Source organism: Homo sapiens, chromosome 13, assembly GCF_000001405.40.
Source record: "Homo sapiens chromosome 13, GRCh38.p14 Primary Assembly".
NCBI lineage: Eukaryota > Metazoa > Chordata > Mammalia > Primates > Hominidae > Homo > Homo sapiens.
Window position 1 is genome coordinate 74,378,754 of NC_000013.11, and position 19,904 is coordinate 74,398,657.

Genomic DNA, 19,904 nt, shown 5'->3' on the forward strand with positions numbered 1-19,904 from the left:
ACTCTTAGATTTAAAATCTGACTATATACTGTTTTACAAGAGACACACCTAGAACCAAATGATACAGAAAAGTTTAATATAAAAGGGCAAGCAAGCATTTTTTTAACATAAAGGCAAATAGAAAAGACAAGCATACAATCTTTGTTTCAGACATTAAATAAGACAAAAGGTGCTTTTTTTACATTTTAAAGGGAACAATTCTCATTGCATTTCCAGCAGTCGTGATCCTTTATGAAAAATAATACGGCATTAAAATACTTGAAACAAAAAGCTTTAGAAATACAAGGGAAAAGAGAAATTGAGTTGTTGTGGGTAAATTAAGGAAACTTTCCAGGCTTATTTAGAAAGAGGTATATGTATTATTTTCTTAGGCATTTTTGATGGAACATGACCCATCTAGTTCTTGGCTGGGCCTAGAATGAGCAGGCTCAGATATTTTTCTTAGTTTAGGTTATATTCTGCCCTAATAACAATGTTTATTAACAACTGTTGTAGAGATATCAACATCTGTAGAATGAAATTCATTATTTTTCCCTCTGAAATCAGTTCTGTCTTGGATGCTAAAACCCATTAAATTGTAACACAATTCACTCAGGCTGCTAAACTAAACATGTCATCCCTGGCTCTCTTCATCTCTAAAATGTATCTATTGAATCTGACTCCTCCTCTCCCCCTCACTATCACGGTCTTATTTTAGGCTTTCTTTGATCTAACCAATGTTGTCCCTGGCACTGGACTCATACAAACCTGATCACACCATTTTCTTTAGAAACTTCTGTTAGTTTCCTTTGCCCAGACTATAGGATCAAAATCTAACTCCTTACATAGTCAAAATGCCCTTAACAATCTGCCCTTCTCCCCACATCTTTCCAGATTTATCTTTCTCCATTCTTCCTCTAATCTTCCATTCACTTAAAATGTATTGCTATGCTAAGTTTTAAATAATTAACCAAAACACCAGACCCATTAATGACTGTTCTTTCACCTACATTCTCTCCTCTTAGAATAACTTTTTCTGATTCCTTTTTTTACTCATTTTTTAAATATTTAAGTTGCATATAATTTACTCAGCATATATGTATGTGTGTGTATATATATGATATATAGTCATGTTCACTTAATGATGGGGTGATGTTCTGAGAAATGTGTCACTAGACAATTTTGTCATTGTGCAAACATAGTTTACTTACACAAACCTAGATGGTATAGCCTACTACACAACTAGGCTATATGGTATAGCCTATTGCTTCTAGGCTGCAAACTGGTACAGCATGTTACTGTAGTAAATTCTGTAGGTGATTGTAGCACAATAGTAGTTGTATATTTATTTATGTTTTGTTGTTTATAAGGTTTTGTTAAAATTAGCTTTAGCATTAATAATACACCATACAAAGGTAAAATATGGTTTTCTCTTCTGAACAAAATGTGTAATATTAAAAGACAAAAGATTTTGTTTACTTGAGTAAACTGCAGGGAGAAAATGGAACAGGAGAGACAGATTTAGTTGGCCTCATGCTGTCTTTATTCGGTCTTACTGTTTGGGAAGCAGAATCTCCTCTCTATTAAATGGTAAATGTTTTTATCACTGTAGCTAAATTAAGGACTATTCTATAGTGACTCATGATCCTGTTTTGTCATATCAAGTGTCTTAAAACTTTGATATTTGACTGACTTTCCAATATTAAAATTAATAGTTCTAGCTTCAAACTTTTTGACCTTAAACTAACTTTTTTGGAGATTAGGTTCCCTGAAGTCCAAGAGAGATATAGTAGGCTTATTAGACTTATTTGTTATGTTAGTACACAGTAAGCCTTGTCAAATGTAAGGTGGTATTTAGCTTTCTTTGGGTTATATTTATATAGACATGTTGTTCATATATGTTCTAGTATTGTATGACATTCCTGAAAATCTGATATGTCTTGATATATGTTTTCAGTAATAATTATGATTATGTTAAATTGTTGTATGCCACAGAAATAAGCAAATTTCCTTGTCAATGGTGTCTTTGACTATGGCTGTCCTAAAACTTTTGTCATCCACAATTGTTGTTTTGCTTTGATCCTTCTCAAAAAGTGACTTATAATCGGCTACAGTCCAGGGCTTGCTTTGGAGGAATTTATGAAAATAAAGTCTCTTCTTTTCTTCTTTTTTGTAAAAACAGTAAAAGAAAGAAAGAAAGGAAAGAAAGAAAGAAAGAAAGAAAGAAAGAAAAAATATCATTTTCTTTTGTGTGTGTGTTCATTTGTATATCTTTCTTTTTTAATTTATTTTTTATTTCAATAGGTTTTATGGGAACAGGTGGTGTTTGGCTACATGAATAAGTTCTTTAGTGGTGATTTCTGAGATTTTGGTGCATCATCACTCAAGCAGTGTACACTGTACCCAATGTGGAGTCTTTTATCCCTCATCCCCTCCCACCCTTTTTCCCAAGTCCCCAAAGTCCACTGTATCATTCTTATGCCTTTCAGTCCTCATAGCTCAGCTCTCAATTATGAGAGCATACAATGTTTGGTTTTCCATTCCTGAGTTACTTCACTTAAAATAATAGTCTCCAATTCCATGCAGATTGCTGCAAATGCCATTATTTTGTTCCTTTTTATGGCTGAGTAGTGTTCCATGTTGTATATGTACCACATTTTCTTTATCCACTCATTGATTGATGGGCATTTGGGCTGATTCTATATTTTTGCAAATTGTGCTGCTATAAACATGCGTGTGCAAGTATCTTTTTCATATAATCACCTCTTTTCCTCTGGGTAGATACCAGGAGTGGGATTGCTGGATCAAATGGCAGTTCTACTTTTAGTTCTTTAAGGAATCTCCACACTGTTTTCCACAGTGGTTTTACTAGTTTACATTCCCACCAACAGTGTAAAAGTGTTCTCCTTCACCACAGCCAGGCCAACATCTATTATTTTATTTTTTTATTTTTTTATTATGGCCATTCTTGCAGGAGTGAGGTGGTATCACATTGTGGTTTTGATTTGCATTTCCCTGATAATTAGTGATGCTGAGCATTTTTTCATATGCTTGTTGACCATTTGTGTATCTTCTTTTGATAATGGCCTATTCATGTCCTTAGTCCACTTTTTGATGGGAGTATTATTATTATTATTATTATTTTGCAGATTTATTTGAGTTCTTTGTAGATACTGGACATTAGTCCTTTGTCAGACGTGTGGAATGTGAAGATTTTCTCCCACTGTGTGGGTTGTCTGTTAACTCTGCTGATTATTTCTTTTGCTGTGCAGAAACTTTTTAGTTTAATTAAATTCCATCTATTTATCTTTGTTTTTGTTGCATTTGCTTTTGGGTTCTTGGTCATGAAATCTTTGCCAAAGCAGATGTATAGGAGGGTTTTTTTCTGATGTTATCTTCTAGAATTTTTATGGTTTCATGTCTTAGATTTAAGTCTTTGATCCAACTTGGGTTAATTTTTGTATAAGGTGAGAGATGAGGATCCAATTTACTCTTTTACACGTGGTTTGCCAATTATCCCAGCACCATTTGTTGAATAGGGTGTCCTTTCCCCACTTTATGTTTTGTTTGCTTTGTTGAAGATCAGTTGTCTGTATTTGACTTATTTCTGGGTTCTCTATTCTGTTCTATTGGTCTATGTGCCTATTTTTATACCAGTACCATGCTGTTTCGGTGACTATGGCCTTATAATATAGTTTGAAGTTGGGTAATGTGATGCCTCCAGATTTGTTCTTTATGTTTAGTCTTATTTTGGATATGTGGGCTCTTTTTTCGTTCCATATGAATTTTAGAAGTTTTTTTTCAAGTTCTGTGAAGAATGATGGTGGTATTTTGATGGGAATTGCATTGAATTTGTAGATTGCTTTTGGCAGTATGGTCATTTTCACAATATTCATTCTACCCATCCGTAAGAATGAGATGTGTTTCTATTTGTTTGTGTCGTCTATAATTTCTTTCAGTAGTGTTTTGTAGCTTTCCTTGTAGAGGTCTTTAATGTCCTTGGTGAGGTATATTCCTAAGTATTTTGTTTTATTTTTCAGCTGTTGTGAAAGGGGTTGAGTTTTTTATTTGATCTCTCAGCTTGGTCACTGTCGGTGTATAGCAGAGCTACTGATTTGTGTACATTAATTTTGTATCCTGAAACTTTGCTGAATTCATTTATCAGTTCTAGGAGATTTTTGTAGGAGTCTCTAGAGTTTTATAAATATATAATTGTATCATCAGCAAACAGTGACAGTTTGGCTTCCTCTTTACCAATTTGGATGCCCTTTATTTCTTTCTCTTGTCTAATTGCTCTGGCTCGGACTTCCAGTGTTAGGTTGAATAAAAGTGGTGAATGTGGCCATCCTTGTCTTGTTCCAGTTCTCAGGGGGAATGCTCTCAACTTTTCTGTGTTCAGAATGATGTTGGCTGTAGGTCTGTCCTAGATGGCTTTTATTACACTGAGGTATATCCCTTGTATGCCCATTTTACTGAGGGTTTTAATCATAAAACAATGCTGAATTTTGTCAAATGCATTTTCTGCATCTATTGAGATGATCATGTGATTTTTGCTTTTAATTCTGTTTATGTGGTGTATCACATTTATTGACTTGTGAATATTAAACCATCTCTGCATCCCTGGTATGAAACACACTTGATCTTGGTGGATTATCTTTTTGATATGCTGTTGGATTCAGTTACCTAGTATTTTGTTGAGGATTTTTGCATCTAGGTTTATTAGGGATATTGGTCTATAATTTTCTTCTTTTGTTATGTCCTTCCCTGGTTGTGGTATTAGGGTGATACTGGCTTCATAGAATGATTTAGGGAGCGCTCTCTCTTTCTCTGTCTTGTGAAATAGTGTCAATAGGATTAGTACCAATTTTTCTTTGAATGTCTAATAGAATTCACCTGTGAATCTGTCTGGTCTTGGACTTTTTTTTTGGTTGGCAATTTTTTATTATCACTTCAATCTCACTGCTTGTTATTGGTTGATTCAGAGTTTCTATTTCTTCCTGGTTTAATTTAGAAGGGTTGTATAGTTCCAGGAATGTATACATCTCTTCTAGGCTTTCTAGTTTATGTGCATAAAACTGTTCATAGTAGCCTTGAATGATCTTTTGTATTTCTGTGGTATCAGTTGTAATGTCTCCTGTATTAGTCTGTTTTCATGCTGCTGATAAAAACATACCTGAGACTGGGTAATTTATAAAAGAAAGAGGTTTATTGGGCTTACAGTTCCACATGGCTGGGAGGCCTCACAATCATGGCAGAAGGCAAGGAGGATCAAGTCATATCTTACATGGATGGCAGGAGGTCAAAAGAGAGCTTGTGCTGGGCAACTTCCTCTTTAAAACCATCAGATCTTGGGAGACGCATTCACTATCATGAGAATAACACGGGAAAGACCCGACCCCATAATTCACTCATCTCCCACCAGGTCCCTCCCACAACATGTGGGAATTATGGGAGCTACAAGATGAGATTTCAGTGGGGACACAGAGTCAAGCCATATCATTCTGCCCCTGGACGCTTTCAAATCTCATATCTTCACATTTCAAAACCAATCATGCCTTGCAACAGTCCGCCAAAATCTCAACTCATTTCAGCATTAACTCAAAAGTCCACAGTCCAAAGTCTTATCCAAGATAAGGCAAGTTCTTTCTGTCTATGAGCCTGGAAAATCAAAAGCAAGTTAGTTACTTGCTAGATACAATGGGTGTACAGGGATTGGGTAGATACAGCCATTACAAATGGGAGAAATTGGCCAAAACAAAGGGGCTACAGGCTCCATGCAAGTTTGAAATCCAGCAGGGGCAGTCAAATCTTAAAGTTCCAAAATGACCTCCTTTGACTCCGTGTCTCACATCCACGTCACGCTGATACAAGACGTAGCTGGCTTTGCAGAGTATAGCCTCCTTCCTGGCTGCCTTCAAGGGCTGGTGTTGAGTGTCTGCAGCTTTTCCAGGTGCACAGTACAAACTGTCAGAGGATCTACCATTCTGGGATCTGGAGGACAGTGGCCCTCTTCTCACAGCTCCACTAGGCAGTGTCCCAGTAGGGAATCTGTGTGGGGGCTCTGACCCCACATTTTCTTTCTGCACTGCCCTAGCAAATGTTCTGCATGAGGACCCTGCCCCTGCAGCAAACTTCTGCCTGGGCATCTGGGCATTTCCATATATCCTCTGAAATCTAGGCAGAGGTTTCCAAACCTCAATTCTTGACCTCTGTGCACTCACAGGCTCAACATCACGTGGAAGCTGCCAAGGCTTGAGGCTTGCACCCTCTGAAGCCACAGCCTGAGCTCTACATTGGTGCCTTTCAGCCATGGCTGGTGCAGTCACTAGGCTGCACACAGCACGGGGATCCTGGGCTCGGCACACAGAACCACTTTTTCCTCCTGGGATTCCAGGCTTGCAATGGGAGGAACTTCCACAAAAGTCTCTGACATGCCCTGGAGACATTTTCTTCATTGTCTTGGTGATTAACATTTGGCTCCTTGTTACTTATGGAAATTTCTGCAGTGGGCTTGAATTTCTCCTCAGAAAATGGGATTTTCTTTTCTATTGCATTGTCAGGCTGCAAATTTTCCAAACTTTTTTGCTGTTTTCCTTTTGAAACTGAATGCCTTTAACAACACCCAAGTCACCTCTTGAATGCTTTGCTGTTAGAAATTTCTTCCACCAGATACTCTAAATCATCTCTCTTAAGTTCAAAATTCCATAAATCTCTAGGGCAGGGGCAAAATGCCCCCAGTCTTTTTGCTAAGACATAACAAAAGTCACCTTTGCTCCAGTTCTCAACAAGTTCCTCATCTCTGTCTGATAACACCTCAGCCTGGACCTTATTGTCCATACTGCTATCAGCATTTTGGGCAAAGCGATTCAACAAGTCTCTAGGAAGTTCCATACATTCCTACATTTTCCTGTCTTTTTCTGAGCCCTCCAAATTGTTCCAACCTCTGCCTGTTACCCAGTTCCAAAGGCACTTCCACATTTTCAGGTAACTTTTCTGCAGCGCCCCACTCTGCTGGTACCAATTTACTGTATTAATCTGTTTTCACACTGCTGATAAAGACATACCGGAGACTGGGAAGAAAAAGAGGTTTAATTGGACTTACAGTTCCACATGGCTGGGGAGATCTCACAATCATGACAGAAGGTAAGGAGGAGCAAGTCACATCTTATGTGGATGGCAGGAGGCAAAAAGAGAGCTTCCATTTTTAAAACCATTGGATCTTGTGAGACTCATTCACTGTCATGAGAATAGCACAGGAAAGACCTGCCCCCATAATTCAGTTATCTCCCACCGGGTCCCTCCCACAACACATGGGAATTATGAGAGCTCCGAGATGAGGTTTGGTTGGGGAAACAGAGCCAAACCATATCATCTCTTGTTTCATTTCTAATGGAGCTTATTTGGATCTTCTCTTTTCTTGGTTAATCTCACTAATGGTATCAATTTTATTTATCTTTTCAGAGAACCAGCTTTTTGTTTCATTTATCTTCTATATATTTTTGTTTCAATTTCATTTAATTCTGCTCTGATCTTTGTTATTTCTTTTCTTCTGCTGGGTTTGGGTTTGGATTATAGTTTCTCCTGTTCCATGAGGTGTGACCTAAGATTGTCTATTTGTGCTCCTTCAGACTTTCTGATATAGGCATTTAATGTTATGAACTTTCCTCTTAGCACCACTTTTGCTGTATCCCACAGGTTTTGATAGGTTGTGTCACTATTTTTGTTCAGTTCAAAGAATTTTTAAGTTTCCATCTTGATTTCATTGTTAACCCAACAATCATTCAGGAGCAGGTTATTTAATTTCCATGTATTTGCATGGTTTGGGAGGTTCCTTTTGGAGTTGATTTCCACTTGTATTCCACTGTGGTCTGAGAGAGTACTTGATATAATTTCGATTTTCTTAAATTTACTAAGACTTATTTTGTGGCCTATCATATGGTCTATCTTGGAGAATGTTCCATGTGCTGATGAGTGGAATGTATATTCTGAAGTTGTTGGGTAGAATGTTCTGTAAATATCTGTTGAGTCCATTTGTTGTAGGGTATAGTTTAAGTCCATTGTTTGTTGACTTTCTGTCTTGATGATCTGTCTAGTGCTGTCAGTGGAGTACTAAATCCCCCACTATTATTGTGTTGCCATCTATCTCATTTTTTAGGTTTACTAGTAATTGTTTTATAAATTTGGGAGCTCCAGTGTTAGGTGCATATATATTTAGGACTGTGGTATTTTCCTGTTGGACTAATTTTTTTATCATTATATAATGTCCTTCATTGTGTTTTTTAACTGCCGTTGCTTTAAAGTTTGTTTTGCCTGATATAAGAATAGCTACTCCTGCTCACTTTTGATGTCCATTTTCATGGAATATATTTTTCCACTCCTTTATCTTAAGTTTATGTGAGTCCTTATGTGTTAGGTGAGTCTCCTGAAGACAGCAGAAAATTGATTGGTGAATTCTTACTCATACTGCCTTCCTGTATCTTTTAACTGGAGCATTTAAGCCATGTACATTCAAAGCTAGTATTGAGATGGGAGGTACTATTCTATTCATTGTGCTATTTGTTGCCTGAATACCTTGTGTTTTTTTTTTTCATTGTGTTATTGTTATATATGTCCTATGAGACTTATGCTTTAAATAAGTTATATTTTGGCATATTTCAAGGATTTGTTTTAAGACTTAGAGCTCCTTTTAGGAGTTCTTGTAGTGACAGCTTGGTAGTCGCAAATTCTCTCAGCATTTGTTTGTCTGGAAAAGACTGTATCTTTCCTTCATTTATGAAGCTTAGTTTCACTGGATACAAAATTCTTGGCTGACAGTTGTTTTGTTTAAGTAGGCTAAAAATAAGACCTCAATCCCTTCTAGCTTGTAGGGTTTCTGCTGAGAAATCTGCCATTATTTTGATAGATTTTACTTTATAGGTTACCTGATGCTTTTGCCTCACAGCTATTAAGATTCTTTTCTTTGTCTTGACTTTAAATAACCTGATGACTATATGCTTAGGTGATGACTTTTTGTGATGAATTTCCCAGGTGTCCTTTGAGCTTCTTGTATTTGGATGACTAGATTTCTAGCAAGGCCAGGGAATTTTCCCCTGATTATTCCCTCAAATATCTTTTCCAGACTTTTAGATTTCTCTTCTTCCTTGGGAACACCAATTATTCTTAGGTTTGGATGCTTAACATATTCTCAAACTTCTTGGAGTCTTTGTCCATTTTTTCTTATTCTTTGTTCTTTGTCTTTGACAGATTGGGTTAATTCAAAAGCCGTGTCTTCGAGCTCTGAAATTCTTTCTTCTGCTTGTTTGAGTGCATTGCTGAGACTTTCCAATGCATTTTGCATTTCTGTAAGTGTGTCCTTGATTCCAGAAGTTGTAATTGGTTTTTATTTATACTATCTGTTTCACTGAAGATTTTTCCTTTCACATCCTGTATTATGTTTTTGATTTCTTCAAGTTGGAGTTCATCTTTCTCTGGTGCCTCCTTAATTAGCTTAATAATTGACCTTTGGACTCCTTTTTCTGGCAATTCAAAGATTTCATCTTGGTTTGGATCCATTGCTGGTGAGCTGGTGTGACCTTTTGGGAGTGTTAAAGAACCTTGTTTTGACATATTACCAGAATTGTTTTTCTGGCTTCTCATTTTGGTAGACTATGTCAGAGGGAATATCTGGGACTCAAGAGCTGCTGTTCAGATTCTCTTGTCCCATGGTGTGCTCCTTTGATGTGTTGCTCTTCTCCTTCTCCTAGGGATGGGGCTTCATGAGAGCTGAACTGCAGTGATTGTTTTTGCTCTTCTGGGTCTAGCCACCCAGCAGAGCTACTGGGCTCCAGGCTGGTACTGGGAAGTGTCTGCAGAGTCCTGTGATGTGATCTTTCTTCAGGTCTTTCAGCCATGGATACCAGCACCTGCTCCAGGGGAGGTAGCAGAGGCGCGAAGAGGACTCTGAGGTTTCTTGGTTGTATTTTTGTTTAGTGCACTGGTTTCTCGTTGGTTGGCCTCCAACCAGGGGGTGGTACTTTCAAGAGTGCATCATCTGTAGTTGCACAGGGAGGATCAGGTGGTAGGTGGGGCTATAGAGCACCCAAGAGATTATGTCCTTTGTTTTTGCAACCAGATGGGTGGGGAAAGACCACCAGATGGGGGTGTGTCTGAGCTCAGACTCTTCTCCGGCAGGGCGTGCTGTGGCTGCTGTGGGGGTTGGGGGTGTGGTTCTCAGGCCAATGGAGTTATGTTTCCAGGGGGATTATGGCTGCCTCTGCTGAGTCACACAGGTCGCCAGGGAAAGGGTGGAAATCCGGCAGCCAAGGATTCACCCCACTCCACACGGCCTGCAGTCCTAAAGGCCAGTTCTCACTCTGACCACCGTGCACCCCCAACAGCACTGAGTTTATTTCCATGCAGCCGGTGACCAGGGCTGAGAACTTGCCCCAGACCACCAGCCTCCCTGCTGAGAAAACCAGCCGACTCACAGCTTTTCAGAGTCTCAGGGAGCCTGTAGCAGTGATGCAGTTCCTTCAAAGGGTCTGTGGATTCTCTCAGCATTCCTGGTATGTTGCTGTGGTAGTTGGTGGAGCAGAAGTTCACAATGTGAGTCTCCACATGCTACTGTGTCTGTGCGAGTGGGAGCTGCAAGCTAGTCCTGCCTCCTATCCACCATCTTCTCTTCTAATTGTGTATTTAAACATAGGAAAGGTAATATGCTGCACTATGACATTATGACGACTACAATGTCACTAGGTGGTAGAAAATTTTCAGTTTCACTAATGATCTTAAGGGTATATACTGTCCATTGTTGACCCAATTGTATATCATAGTGGTCCTATGAAATTATAATGTTGTATTTTTACTGTACCTTTTTATTTTTTACTTTTCTTTTTTACTATACCTCTTTTTTGGCAAAATGTTCAAATCTTTTGTGTGATTTTTATTAGATTGTTCTGTATATTTGTGGAAAAGGTATGTTTTATAGATACAGTTGTTGCTTTAAAAAAACTTTTTGCAAGTGTTTATCTTTGAAATGTTCAGACAACTTTAAAAAATAATTATGGAAATGTTTGCATTTACAGCTAGCATTGTCTATTTGTTTTCTATTTGCCTCATCCATTCTGTGTTACTTTATTTCCTGTTTACCCATTTTGTTTCAGTTGCATACTTTTTAGTATCTATTTTATTTCTGCTATTGACTTAATCATAATTATTTGTATTATTATTTGTGTAGTTGCTTAATTATTAACAAAATGTATCCTTAGCTTATCACAGCCTATCTTTAAATAATAATATATTGCTGTACATGTAATATAAGAACTTCTTAAGAATACCTTTTCATTTCTTCCCTACCATACCCTTTGGACTATTATTTTCATACACTTTATTTCTACACATATTACAAACCACACACTAACTTACTATTTTTAAAACAATAAATTACCTCTTGAATTTTTTCTTTCTTTTCTTTTTTAAAAAAAATATAACAGTTTCCTCCTTGTGTTCAGCCTCTCAGTTTTTTTTTTTATTTTTATACATGTGGGATACATGTGCAGGATGTGCAGGTTTGCTACATAGGAAAACGTGTGTCATGGTGGTTTGCTGCACCTATCAACCCATCACCTAAGTATTAAGCCCTGCATGCATTTTTCCTCTTCTCTCCCTCCCATGCCTCGCCCTCCACCTAGACAGGTTCCGGTGGGTGTTGTTCCCTTCCCTGTGTCCATGTGTTCTCATCATTCAACTCCCACTTGTAAGTCAGAACATGTGGTGTTTGGTTTTCTGTTCCTGTGTTAATTTGCTGAGTATAATGGCTTCTAGCTCCATCCATGTCCCTGAAATGGACATGATCTTGTTCCTTCTAATGGCTGCATAGTATTCCATGGTGTATATGTACCACATTTTCTTTATCCAGCCTATCATTGATGGGCATTTGGGTTGATTTCATGTCTTTACTATTGTGAATAGTGCGCAATGAACATATGTGTGCAAGAATTTTTTTCATTTGAAATAATTTTATATATAGGAAAGTTGCAAAAATGATACAAAGAATTCATGTATTCTTTCATCCAGCTTCCCTTAATACTAACATCTTATATTAGCAAGGATAATTATCAAAACAAAGAAATTGACTTTGGCATAATACTTTTAAGCAAACAATAGATGCTCCTTGAATTCCATCAGTTTTCCAGTAGTTCATTGCTTCTATCTCAGGATCCAATCCAGTATTCCACATTGCAGTTACTTTTTATGTCTCTTTAGTCTCCTCTAATCAATGATAATTCTTGAATTTGACAGTTTTAATGAATAATGGTCAGTTATGCTGTAGAGTGTCTCTCAGTTTGGTTTTGACTCTTGTATTCTTGTGATTAAATTGATACATCTTTGGCAAGTACACTGTAGAAGTGATGTTGTGTCCTTCCCAGTGCATCATATCAGGGTGTATATGATGTCAATATGTCTCATTACAGATGATATTAACTTTAATCATTTTCACTAAAATATTGTCTGCCAGGTTGCTCCACCATAAAATTATCACTTTCCTTTTTGCAATTAATAAATATCTTGGGCAAAACACTGTGAAACCACTCAAATATCATTTTTCCTGAAAACCGTGCTCACTGATTTTAGCCGTCATCAGTGAGTTTTGCCTGCAGCAATTATTACTATGATACTTGTTTGAGGTTGATTTTGTATTTCCCTAATTTCTTTTATATTTGTTAATTGAAATTTTTCTGTAATGAAGAACTATTTATTCTCCCATGTTTATTTATGTATTCAATTATTTAAAATAAATTGGGAAGTCATAAATGTTTACTCCTTTGAATATTATTTAATATTATCATTTTTAATTTTGTGACTCATGCTATTCTAGCATTTTCTGACACCATGATATATTTCAGTTTCATTTTATTTTATTTTAATTTTTGCATCAGCCTTGGAATCAACCACTTCTCTGACTAGCCATGGTTCTTTTGATTGGCGAATGGTATTTAGAAACAAAGATCCAGGCACAGAGTACTTGTTACGGAAGTGTTATTGTTTTTAGGATCTCTCAAATGACAGGGTTTGGAAATATATGCAAGTATACTACTCACACATACATACAATTCTGCATTTATATTTCTATATATAACTTAACATATATTAATGCTCATGAATTCATAGTTATGCCTCCAATTATAATCTGACACTATAGGGTTAATTCTGTCCTCCTTTTTCTTATTCGTAACTTCTTCCTTTGACAATGGAAACAGAGTCTCTTTATCTACAATATATTTACTTATTTGTTAGATCATTGTATACACATGCTCCTTTCAGAAACAGATTTACTAAGTACATTTGTGAATAGTTACTTACATGTTTAGCTTTATAATGTCCACACCAAACTCTAAGTTACTTAGATTAGTTCTTTTCTACCTCATTCCGTTCAGTGTGGTTATCCTATTCACTTGTAACATATTTAGGTTCATCTCTTACTGTCTTGTATTCAATTTTCAGATCCCCCAACAATTTGAGTGATTTTAATAACTATTTAGTTTTATGGGTATTTGAGACTTTATTATGGTTCTAAAAATCAAAGCTATGCTGAGAATATACCCAGAGAAATATCGTGAAGGAAAGGAAGATATTTTCATGTTTGTGCATAATTGGGACTTCCTGAGTAATGAAAATTAGGACCTGGATTAAAAGATAAGTCTTGGAAATTAAAGGGTATTAGACCACAAGACATTTGCTCCTACTGTCAGTAGTAAAACTTATCTTTCTAGAGCCAACTGTTTGCATTGCAGGGTAGGAACTTTCTCCTTTATCTTCCTGAGAGACTTTGTTTTATTTCAAATGGGGATGAGACCTAGAGCCCTAAAGCCTGTCATTTACATTGCATGTTATTGTAGACAACTAGGGAGTGGATATTGCCTTTCCTCTGGCAGAAAAGAATAGAGGGCAGCTTTTCTTCTCCTATACAAACTGTCAGGCTCATAATTTTGGAGGTATTCTCCTTCAGGACCCACCTCATATATATATATATAGGGTAACATTTGGTTTTTGTGCTTTGTGCCTAGGATATTAGGGCAAGAGGAACTGATGTGGTTATTACTATAAGTAATAATAATTTGCCTTGATCCAGAAACCTCATGTTTGTATCCTGTATTAGTCTGTTCTCATGCTACTATGAAGAAATACCCAAGACTGGGTAGTTTATAAAGGAAAGAGGTTTAATTGACTCACAGCTCCGCGTGGCTGGGGAAGCCTCAGGAAAGTTAAAATCATGGCAGAAGGGGAAGCAAACACGTCCTTCTTCACATGGTGGCAGGAGAAGTGCAGAACAAAGGGAGGAAAAGACCTTTATAAAACCATCAGATCTCATGAGAACTCACTCAGTATGAGAACAGCATGGGGAATCATGATCTAATCACCTCCCACAAGGTCCCTCCCCCAGCACATGGGGATTACAATTGGGATTACGATTCAAGATGAAATTTGGCTGGGGACACAGAGCCAGACCATATCATTATAAATAAGATAAATATATACATTAAAAACTTATTAAGAAATATTTCTTCCTCTTAATCTCTACTACTGTAGTCCATTTTCCCCTTCTTTTTGTCATTTCCTACCCACTCTCTGTTGGAATGAATCTTTTAAGTTTACAACTTATCTCTCTTGTATTTCTTTTGCATAAATGATGTATATTTTCTATCTTCTTTCCTTCTTGTTTTAATATAGTAGCTCTACTGAGATATAATTCACATACTGTAACATTAACCCATTTCAAGTGTACATGATTTTAGGGTATTCACAGGGTTGTGTGATCATCACCATAATCAATTTTGGAATAGTTTCATTATCCCTAAAAGAAACTCTGTAGACATAATTTGTTATTCTCCATAACCCTCCTCCCAGCCCGAGATAACAACTAATTTATATGGTCTTTAGTGGCTGGTTTCCTGCATGCAACATATTTTCAAGATTCATCCATGTTGTAGCATCAATCAGTACTTTATTCCTTTTTATTGCTGAATAATTTTTCACTGTATGTGTATACCACGTTATTTATCCATTTATCAGTTGATGGGCATTTTGGTTGTTTCCATTTTGAGGCTACTATAAATAAGGCTGCTACGAACATTTGTGTACAGCTTTTATGCAAACATGTTTTCATTTCTATTCATACATGAGTAGGAATAGAATTGCTGGGTCATTGATAACTCTATGTTTGACTTTTGATGAACTGCCAGACTGTTTTTCCAAAGCAGCTGCACCATTTTACATTCCTACTATTAATAGCAATATGTGGGGGGTTCCAATTTCTCCATATTCTCACCAACTTGTTGTTATCTCTTTTTAATTATAGTTATTCTAGTATTCCTTTCTTTCTCACATGACGTATAGAATCTTATGTTGTAAGATTATGACATAATGCTTTGTAATTTGCTTTTTTCCACTTACCAATATAGCCTGTGAAAAACAAGTCATCTTAGAGGAATATTCCTCGTTCTTTTTATAGCTGCATAGTATTCCATTGTGTAAATGTATCATAATTTATTCAATCCCTCTCGAACACATGGATATTTGGTTTATTACCACTACTTTGCAAATATGAACAATGCAGCAATAAATAACCCTATGCATATTATTTCAGCCTATGCATAATATTCATATTATTAGAAGAGTATTTTCAGGATATATATGTGGTTGTGCTAAATATTGTCAAATTTTCATCCAGAAGTCATAGACCAATTTTCATTCACATAAGCAGTGTATGAGAAAATGTGTTTGCTATAGCCTTGTCAACAGAATTTGCTGTCTTGCTTTTAGACGTTTGCCAGTCTGATAGGTGAGAAATGGTGTCTTTGTGTTGTTTAATTTCTCTAATTTTAGTGAGACTAAAGGCTTTTTATGTTTTTTATGTCATTTTTGAATATTTTTAGTGAATTTTCTGTTCTCTTAATTATTTTTTAAAGAGGTTAATAAATAACAAAACAATCTTTTATATTTATTCACGTTTATTATTTCTAGCATTCTGTTTTCTATGGATTCTAATTTCCATCTGGTGTCATTTTCTTTTAGCTTGAAGAACTTCCTTTAACATTTCTTTTAGTGTAGGTGTGTTAGGAACACATTTTCTCAGCTTTAGTTTTTCTAAAAATGTGTTTACTTTGCCTTCATTTTTTTGACGATATTTTGCTAGATAGAGAATCTAGCCTGCTGGTTATTTTCTTACAGTACTCTACGTTGTTCCATTGTCTTTTGGCTTATGCCTTTTCTGATAAGAAGTTTGCAGGCATTCTTATTTGTTTTCCTGCCGATGTCAGCCTTTGGTATACACCCCTGGGCTCTCAGTAAGGACCTGTGGCTAAGAGTTTTCAGGTTGGCATAGTCCTGTATTCTCTCTGTACCTCCTTCAAGTTTTTAATGTCACAGTTACCCACACTTTGCAATTAAATGCTTATAAATGATTTGGCTGGCACTTCATCATCCTCCTATTTTTCTATAGATAAGAGCAGCCCCGGATCTTTTCTCCCGTATGAAAAGTTTGTTACTTTCTGGAATTTTGTTCATTCAGGTTTCTTTGTGTACTCAACTTTGCAATGAATTAAAAGTAAAAGACTATGGTTTTGTAACTGCTCCAGCTTGGTTCAGTTGTTAGGATGATAACAATAGTTTCTTATGATATGGATCTAATGGAACCTAAGTTCATGTCTTTAATGAGAATGTTTGTAGTAACTGTGTTTAGATCATTTGTACACACAGCCAATGTGTGCTTATTTGACAACACTCACTCATTGAGCTCCCCTCTTAAGATATGATCACCCTTTGTTTTGCTGTAGGAAATGTGAGTTTTTGCAAGGAGAGGTAAAGTTTAATTGTCAAACCTGGAAATAATTGAATCTATAGTCCCCCTATGATAACAAAAGGGTGTTTGACTTGAGTTTTTAAAGCTTAGCATTGTTAAAGAGATTCCAACAATATCATGTTTAAAACAATGACATTAAATAGTAATGAAACACTTTAGCCATAAAATAAAGCAGATTTTAATGCTTTATCACCTCCAATAAATTGCAGTTTTGTTCTTCTTTTGAATCTCTGTTGAGCTGACACTTCATGCAATGACATCTAGCAGTGCTCAAATGCAAGACCATGAAAAAATAAAATTTGGCCGAATGAATGCAGATTTCTAGTTTGTATTACTTTCTCTTCTCTTGTGGTATATGTTAAAGAAGAGATTTAATCAGTTTCACCAGTAAGATCATGTCACTACCGCGAAAGATTTTAATGGTCAAGAAAAGTTTAGGCCATAGTTTTCATTTGTATTAGAAGGCATATTGATTTACATTATTTTATTGTATGGAATTTAAGATGCAATCATTTGCATAAATGAGAAAAATATTTCATTTCAAAGAGTAACATTTCTAACATTTCTTTTGTTTTCTAAAAGAGTAAGAATTCAAGATGGATTATGTTACTTTTCATTTGAATAATGTCAGATATCAGGAAGAGAAATAAATTGCCTTCGCATTTAATTGCATCACAACTGATTTTGGAATAATGAGATATTTTAGTTTTTCAAAAAATATTAGTGTGCTGCAAAATCATGTTCTTTCCATTATTTTTTCCAAGGTGAATAATCTAAATGTATTAGTTTTTATTTAGCAATTGATGAGTTAATAATATAAGGTTATTCATAGCTCGTTTAGAAAAGTCTCTGAATGTTTCATTCTCTTGGTGTTTAAAAACCCTTTCAATTATTTTTATGTTTGGGCAGAATTTGTATAAGCTGAGTGCCCTTTGCCCAAGGCATACTTTCTCCATGTTTATTTTTCTGCCCATTGCTTCAAATGAAATGGGATGAAGTATATGCGGAGACAGTTGCTTTTTATTTTCCACATTCTCATCTTGTCCGTAGAAAAATTGAGAGTAGCCATCAGCCAAAAATATGTTGGCCTTTAGGGAAAGTCCTACGTGTGTGTAGCAGGGGTAAGAGGAGATATGCAGAGTGAGAAACTATCTTTTATCTCTGCCTTTTCACTAAATACCCTCCTCACATGGAGGGTTATATGTGAATTCTTTATCATCACTTCTGCTACAACATGGCAGGCCAAGAGGATGAGAGCAGCACAGGGAGAAGAGGGACCGAGAAAGACAGGAAAAAAATGCTTCATGCCTTGAGTTTGTTGAAGTTTTATCCTACCTAGGCCAGGTGGGAGGAGAGATGTAGTCTATGTGATTTCATCTTATATCACCTGCCAGGCACTCTAGGAGTGAACTAAACTTTCCCCACTGACAATGTGGTGGAGTGGAAGATAAAAAGACTCTCAGTTTTTTGAAGGCTGTATAACTTATCTTATTATCTTAATCTCTGCAATTTGCTCTTCATAAAATTCTAGGGTAAGCATAACCCAGACTGTTATTTGACTTTACCTGTGAGGTGACTGAACTGAGAGGATAATTAATCTAGTTTATACAGTCTGCAATGGCAGAGCCAGACTCAAACCCAGGATGCAGACTTCAATTTCTTCTGTGACTCAATAGTGCTACCCTGTCCCCACTTTTCTACCTGAAATTCACCTACGTGGGTGATTGCAGGTTTGAATTTCTGGGAGCGCTCAGTACTTGAATGTATACAAATACATCTATGTGTGTTGTTCTAATTTTTTTTTTTTTTTTTTTTACTAAATCCATTAGCAAAATTGCTTTAGGTAAAGGAGAAAAGTTGTACCAGATAGATCGAAAGAAATGCAAAAGAGAATCACAAGAAATATGAATTCTCAAGTACCCTGAATTTTCCTACTAGGACTTTGTTCTCTTTTTAGATCTCCATCCTGTTGTGCAGTTTAATAATCAATTCCCTTGTTTCCTATCCTGAAGTCAAATAATGTTTAATAACTACAGGCATTTTAGTTTGTTGTTTGTCCAGTCATTTTTATTTATTTATTTAGACAGGGTATCACTCTGTTACCCAGGCTGCTGCAGCCTCAGTCTCTTGGGCAAAAGCGATCCTCCTGCCTCAGCCTCCAGAGTAGCTAGGACTACAAGCATGCACCACCACACCTGACTAATGTTTTTCTTTTAATTTTTTTTTTTTAGAAACAGTCTCACTATGTTGCCCAGGCTAGTCTTTAACACCAGATCTCAAGCAATCCTCCCACCTTGGCCTCCCAAATCCCTGCTGGGATTATAGGTGTGAGCCACTGCACCCAGCCTGTCTATTCATTTTTTCAGCACTTATTGAATCCTGTCTAGATACTAATCATTGTATTTGGCCTAGGGATTAAAAAATAAAAAGCAATTCCTGTTTTCAGGGAGCATGTCACATTGTGAACAACACGGAGAATTTAGCAGAGACCATGGTCTTTCTATTGGTTAAAAGTAAAGATTATATACATTAGTTTGTCTTTCCCTGTGCCACTCTCCTTTCCTATCGCTGCATGACTCAAGAAAATGGAACTCTACTTTTCCATACGCCCACTGATTCTGAATGGCTCTGCAAAAGCCCAGGGTTCTATCTATCTATTATGTAAACTCAGGAAGGATGTGTCTTTTCACTCACAGAGCTTCTCAAAACTGTTTCTTTTCTCTAGAAAATATTCCACATCTATCTCTGTGCAACCATTGCCCAGTATTATTTTGTAGAAGAATACATTTTGCTATTGTGATGAGATTTCATTTTCTGTTAGAGTGGAGGCTCTCAAAGTGTGGTTTGTGGAAGCTTGGGGGGTACCTAGGAGTCTGTGAAGCCAAAACTATTCATAACAGTAAGAATATATTTGCCCTTTGCACTGTTTTGCCATTTGCACCCTGGTGGTGCAAAGCCATAGTGGGTTAAACTGTGGTGCCTTAGCACAGATATAGGCAGTGGGCCCAACTGTTGTCAGAAGTCATTGCGGTCTTCATCACTACAGAACAAAAAAAATGAAGCCAGTTTGCCCTGAGCATGCCCT

The 19,904-nt window shown here is 36.6% G+C and overlaps 1 long non-coding RNA gene across 5 annotated transcripts in view; it reads left to right on the plus strand.

The window, feature by feature from the left end:
• The window catches only part of LOC105370259 (uncharacterized), a 120,734-nt gene that overhangs the window by 90,684 nt on the left and 10,146 nt on the right, over positions 1 to 19,904 (plus strand). The window lies entirely within an intron of this gene.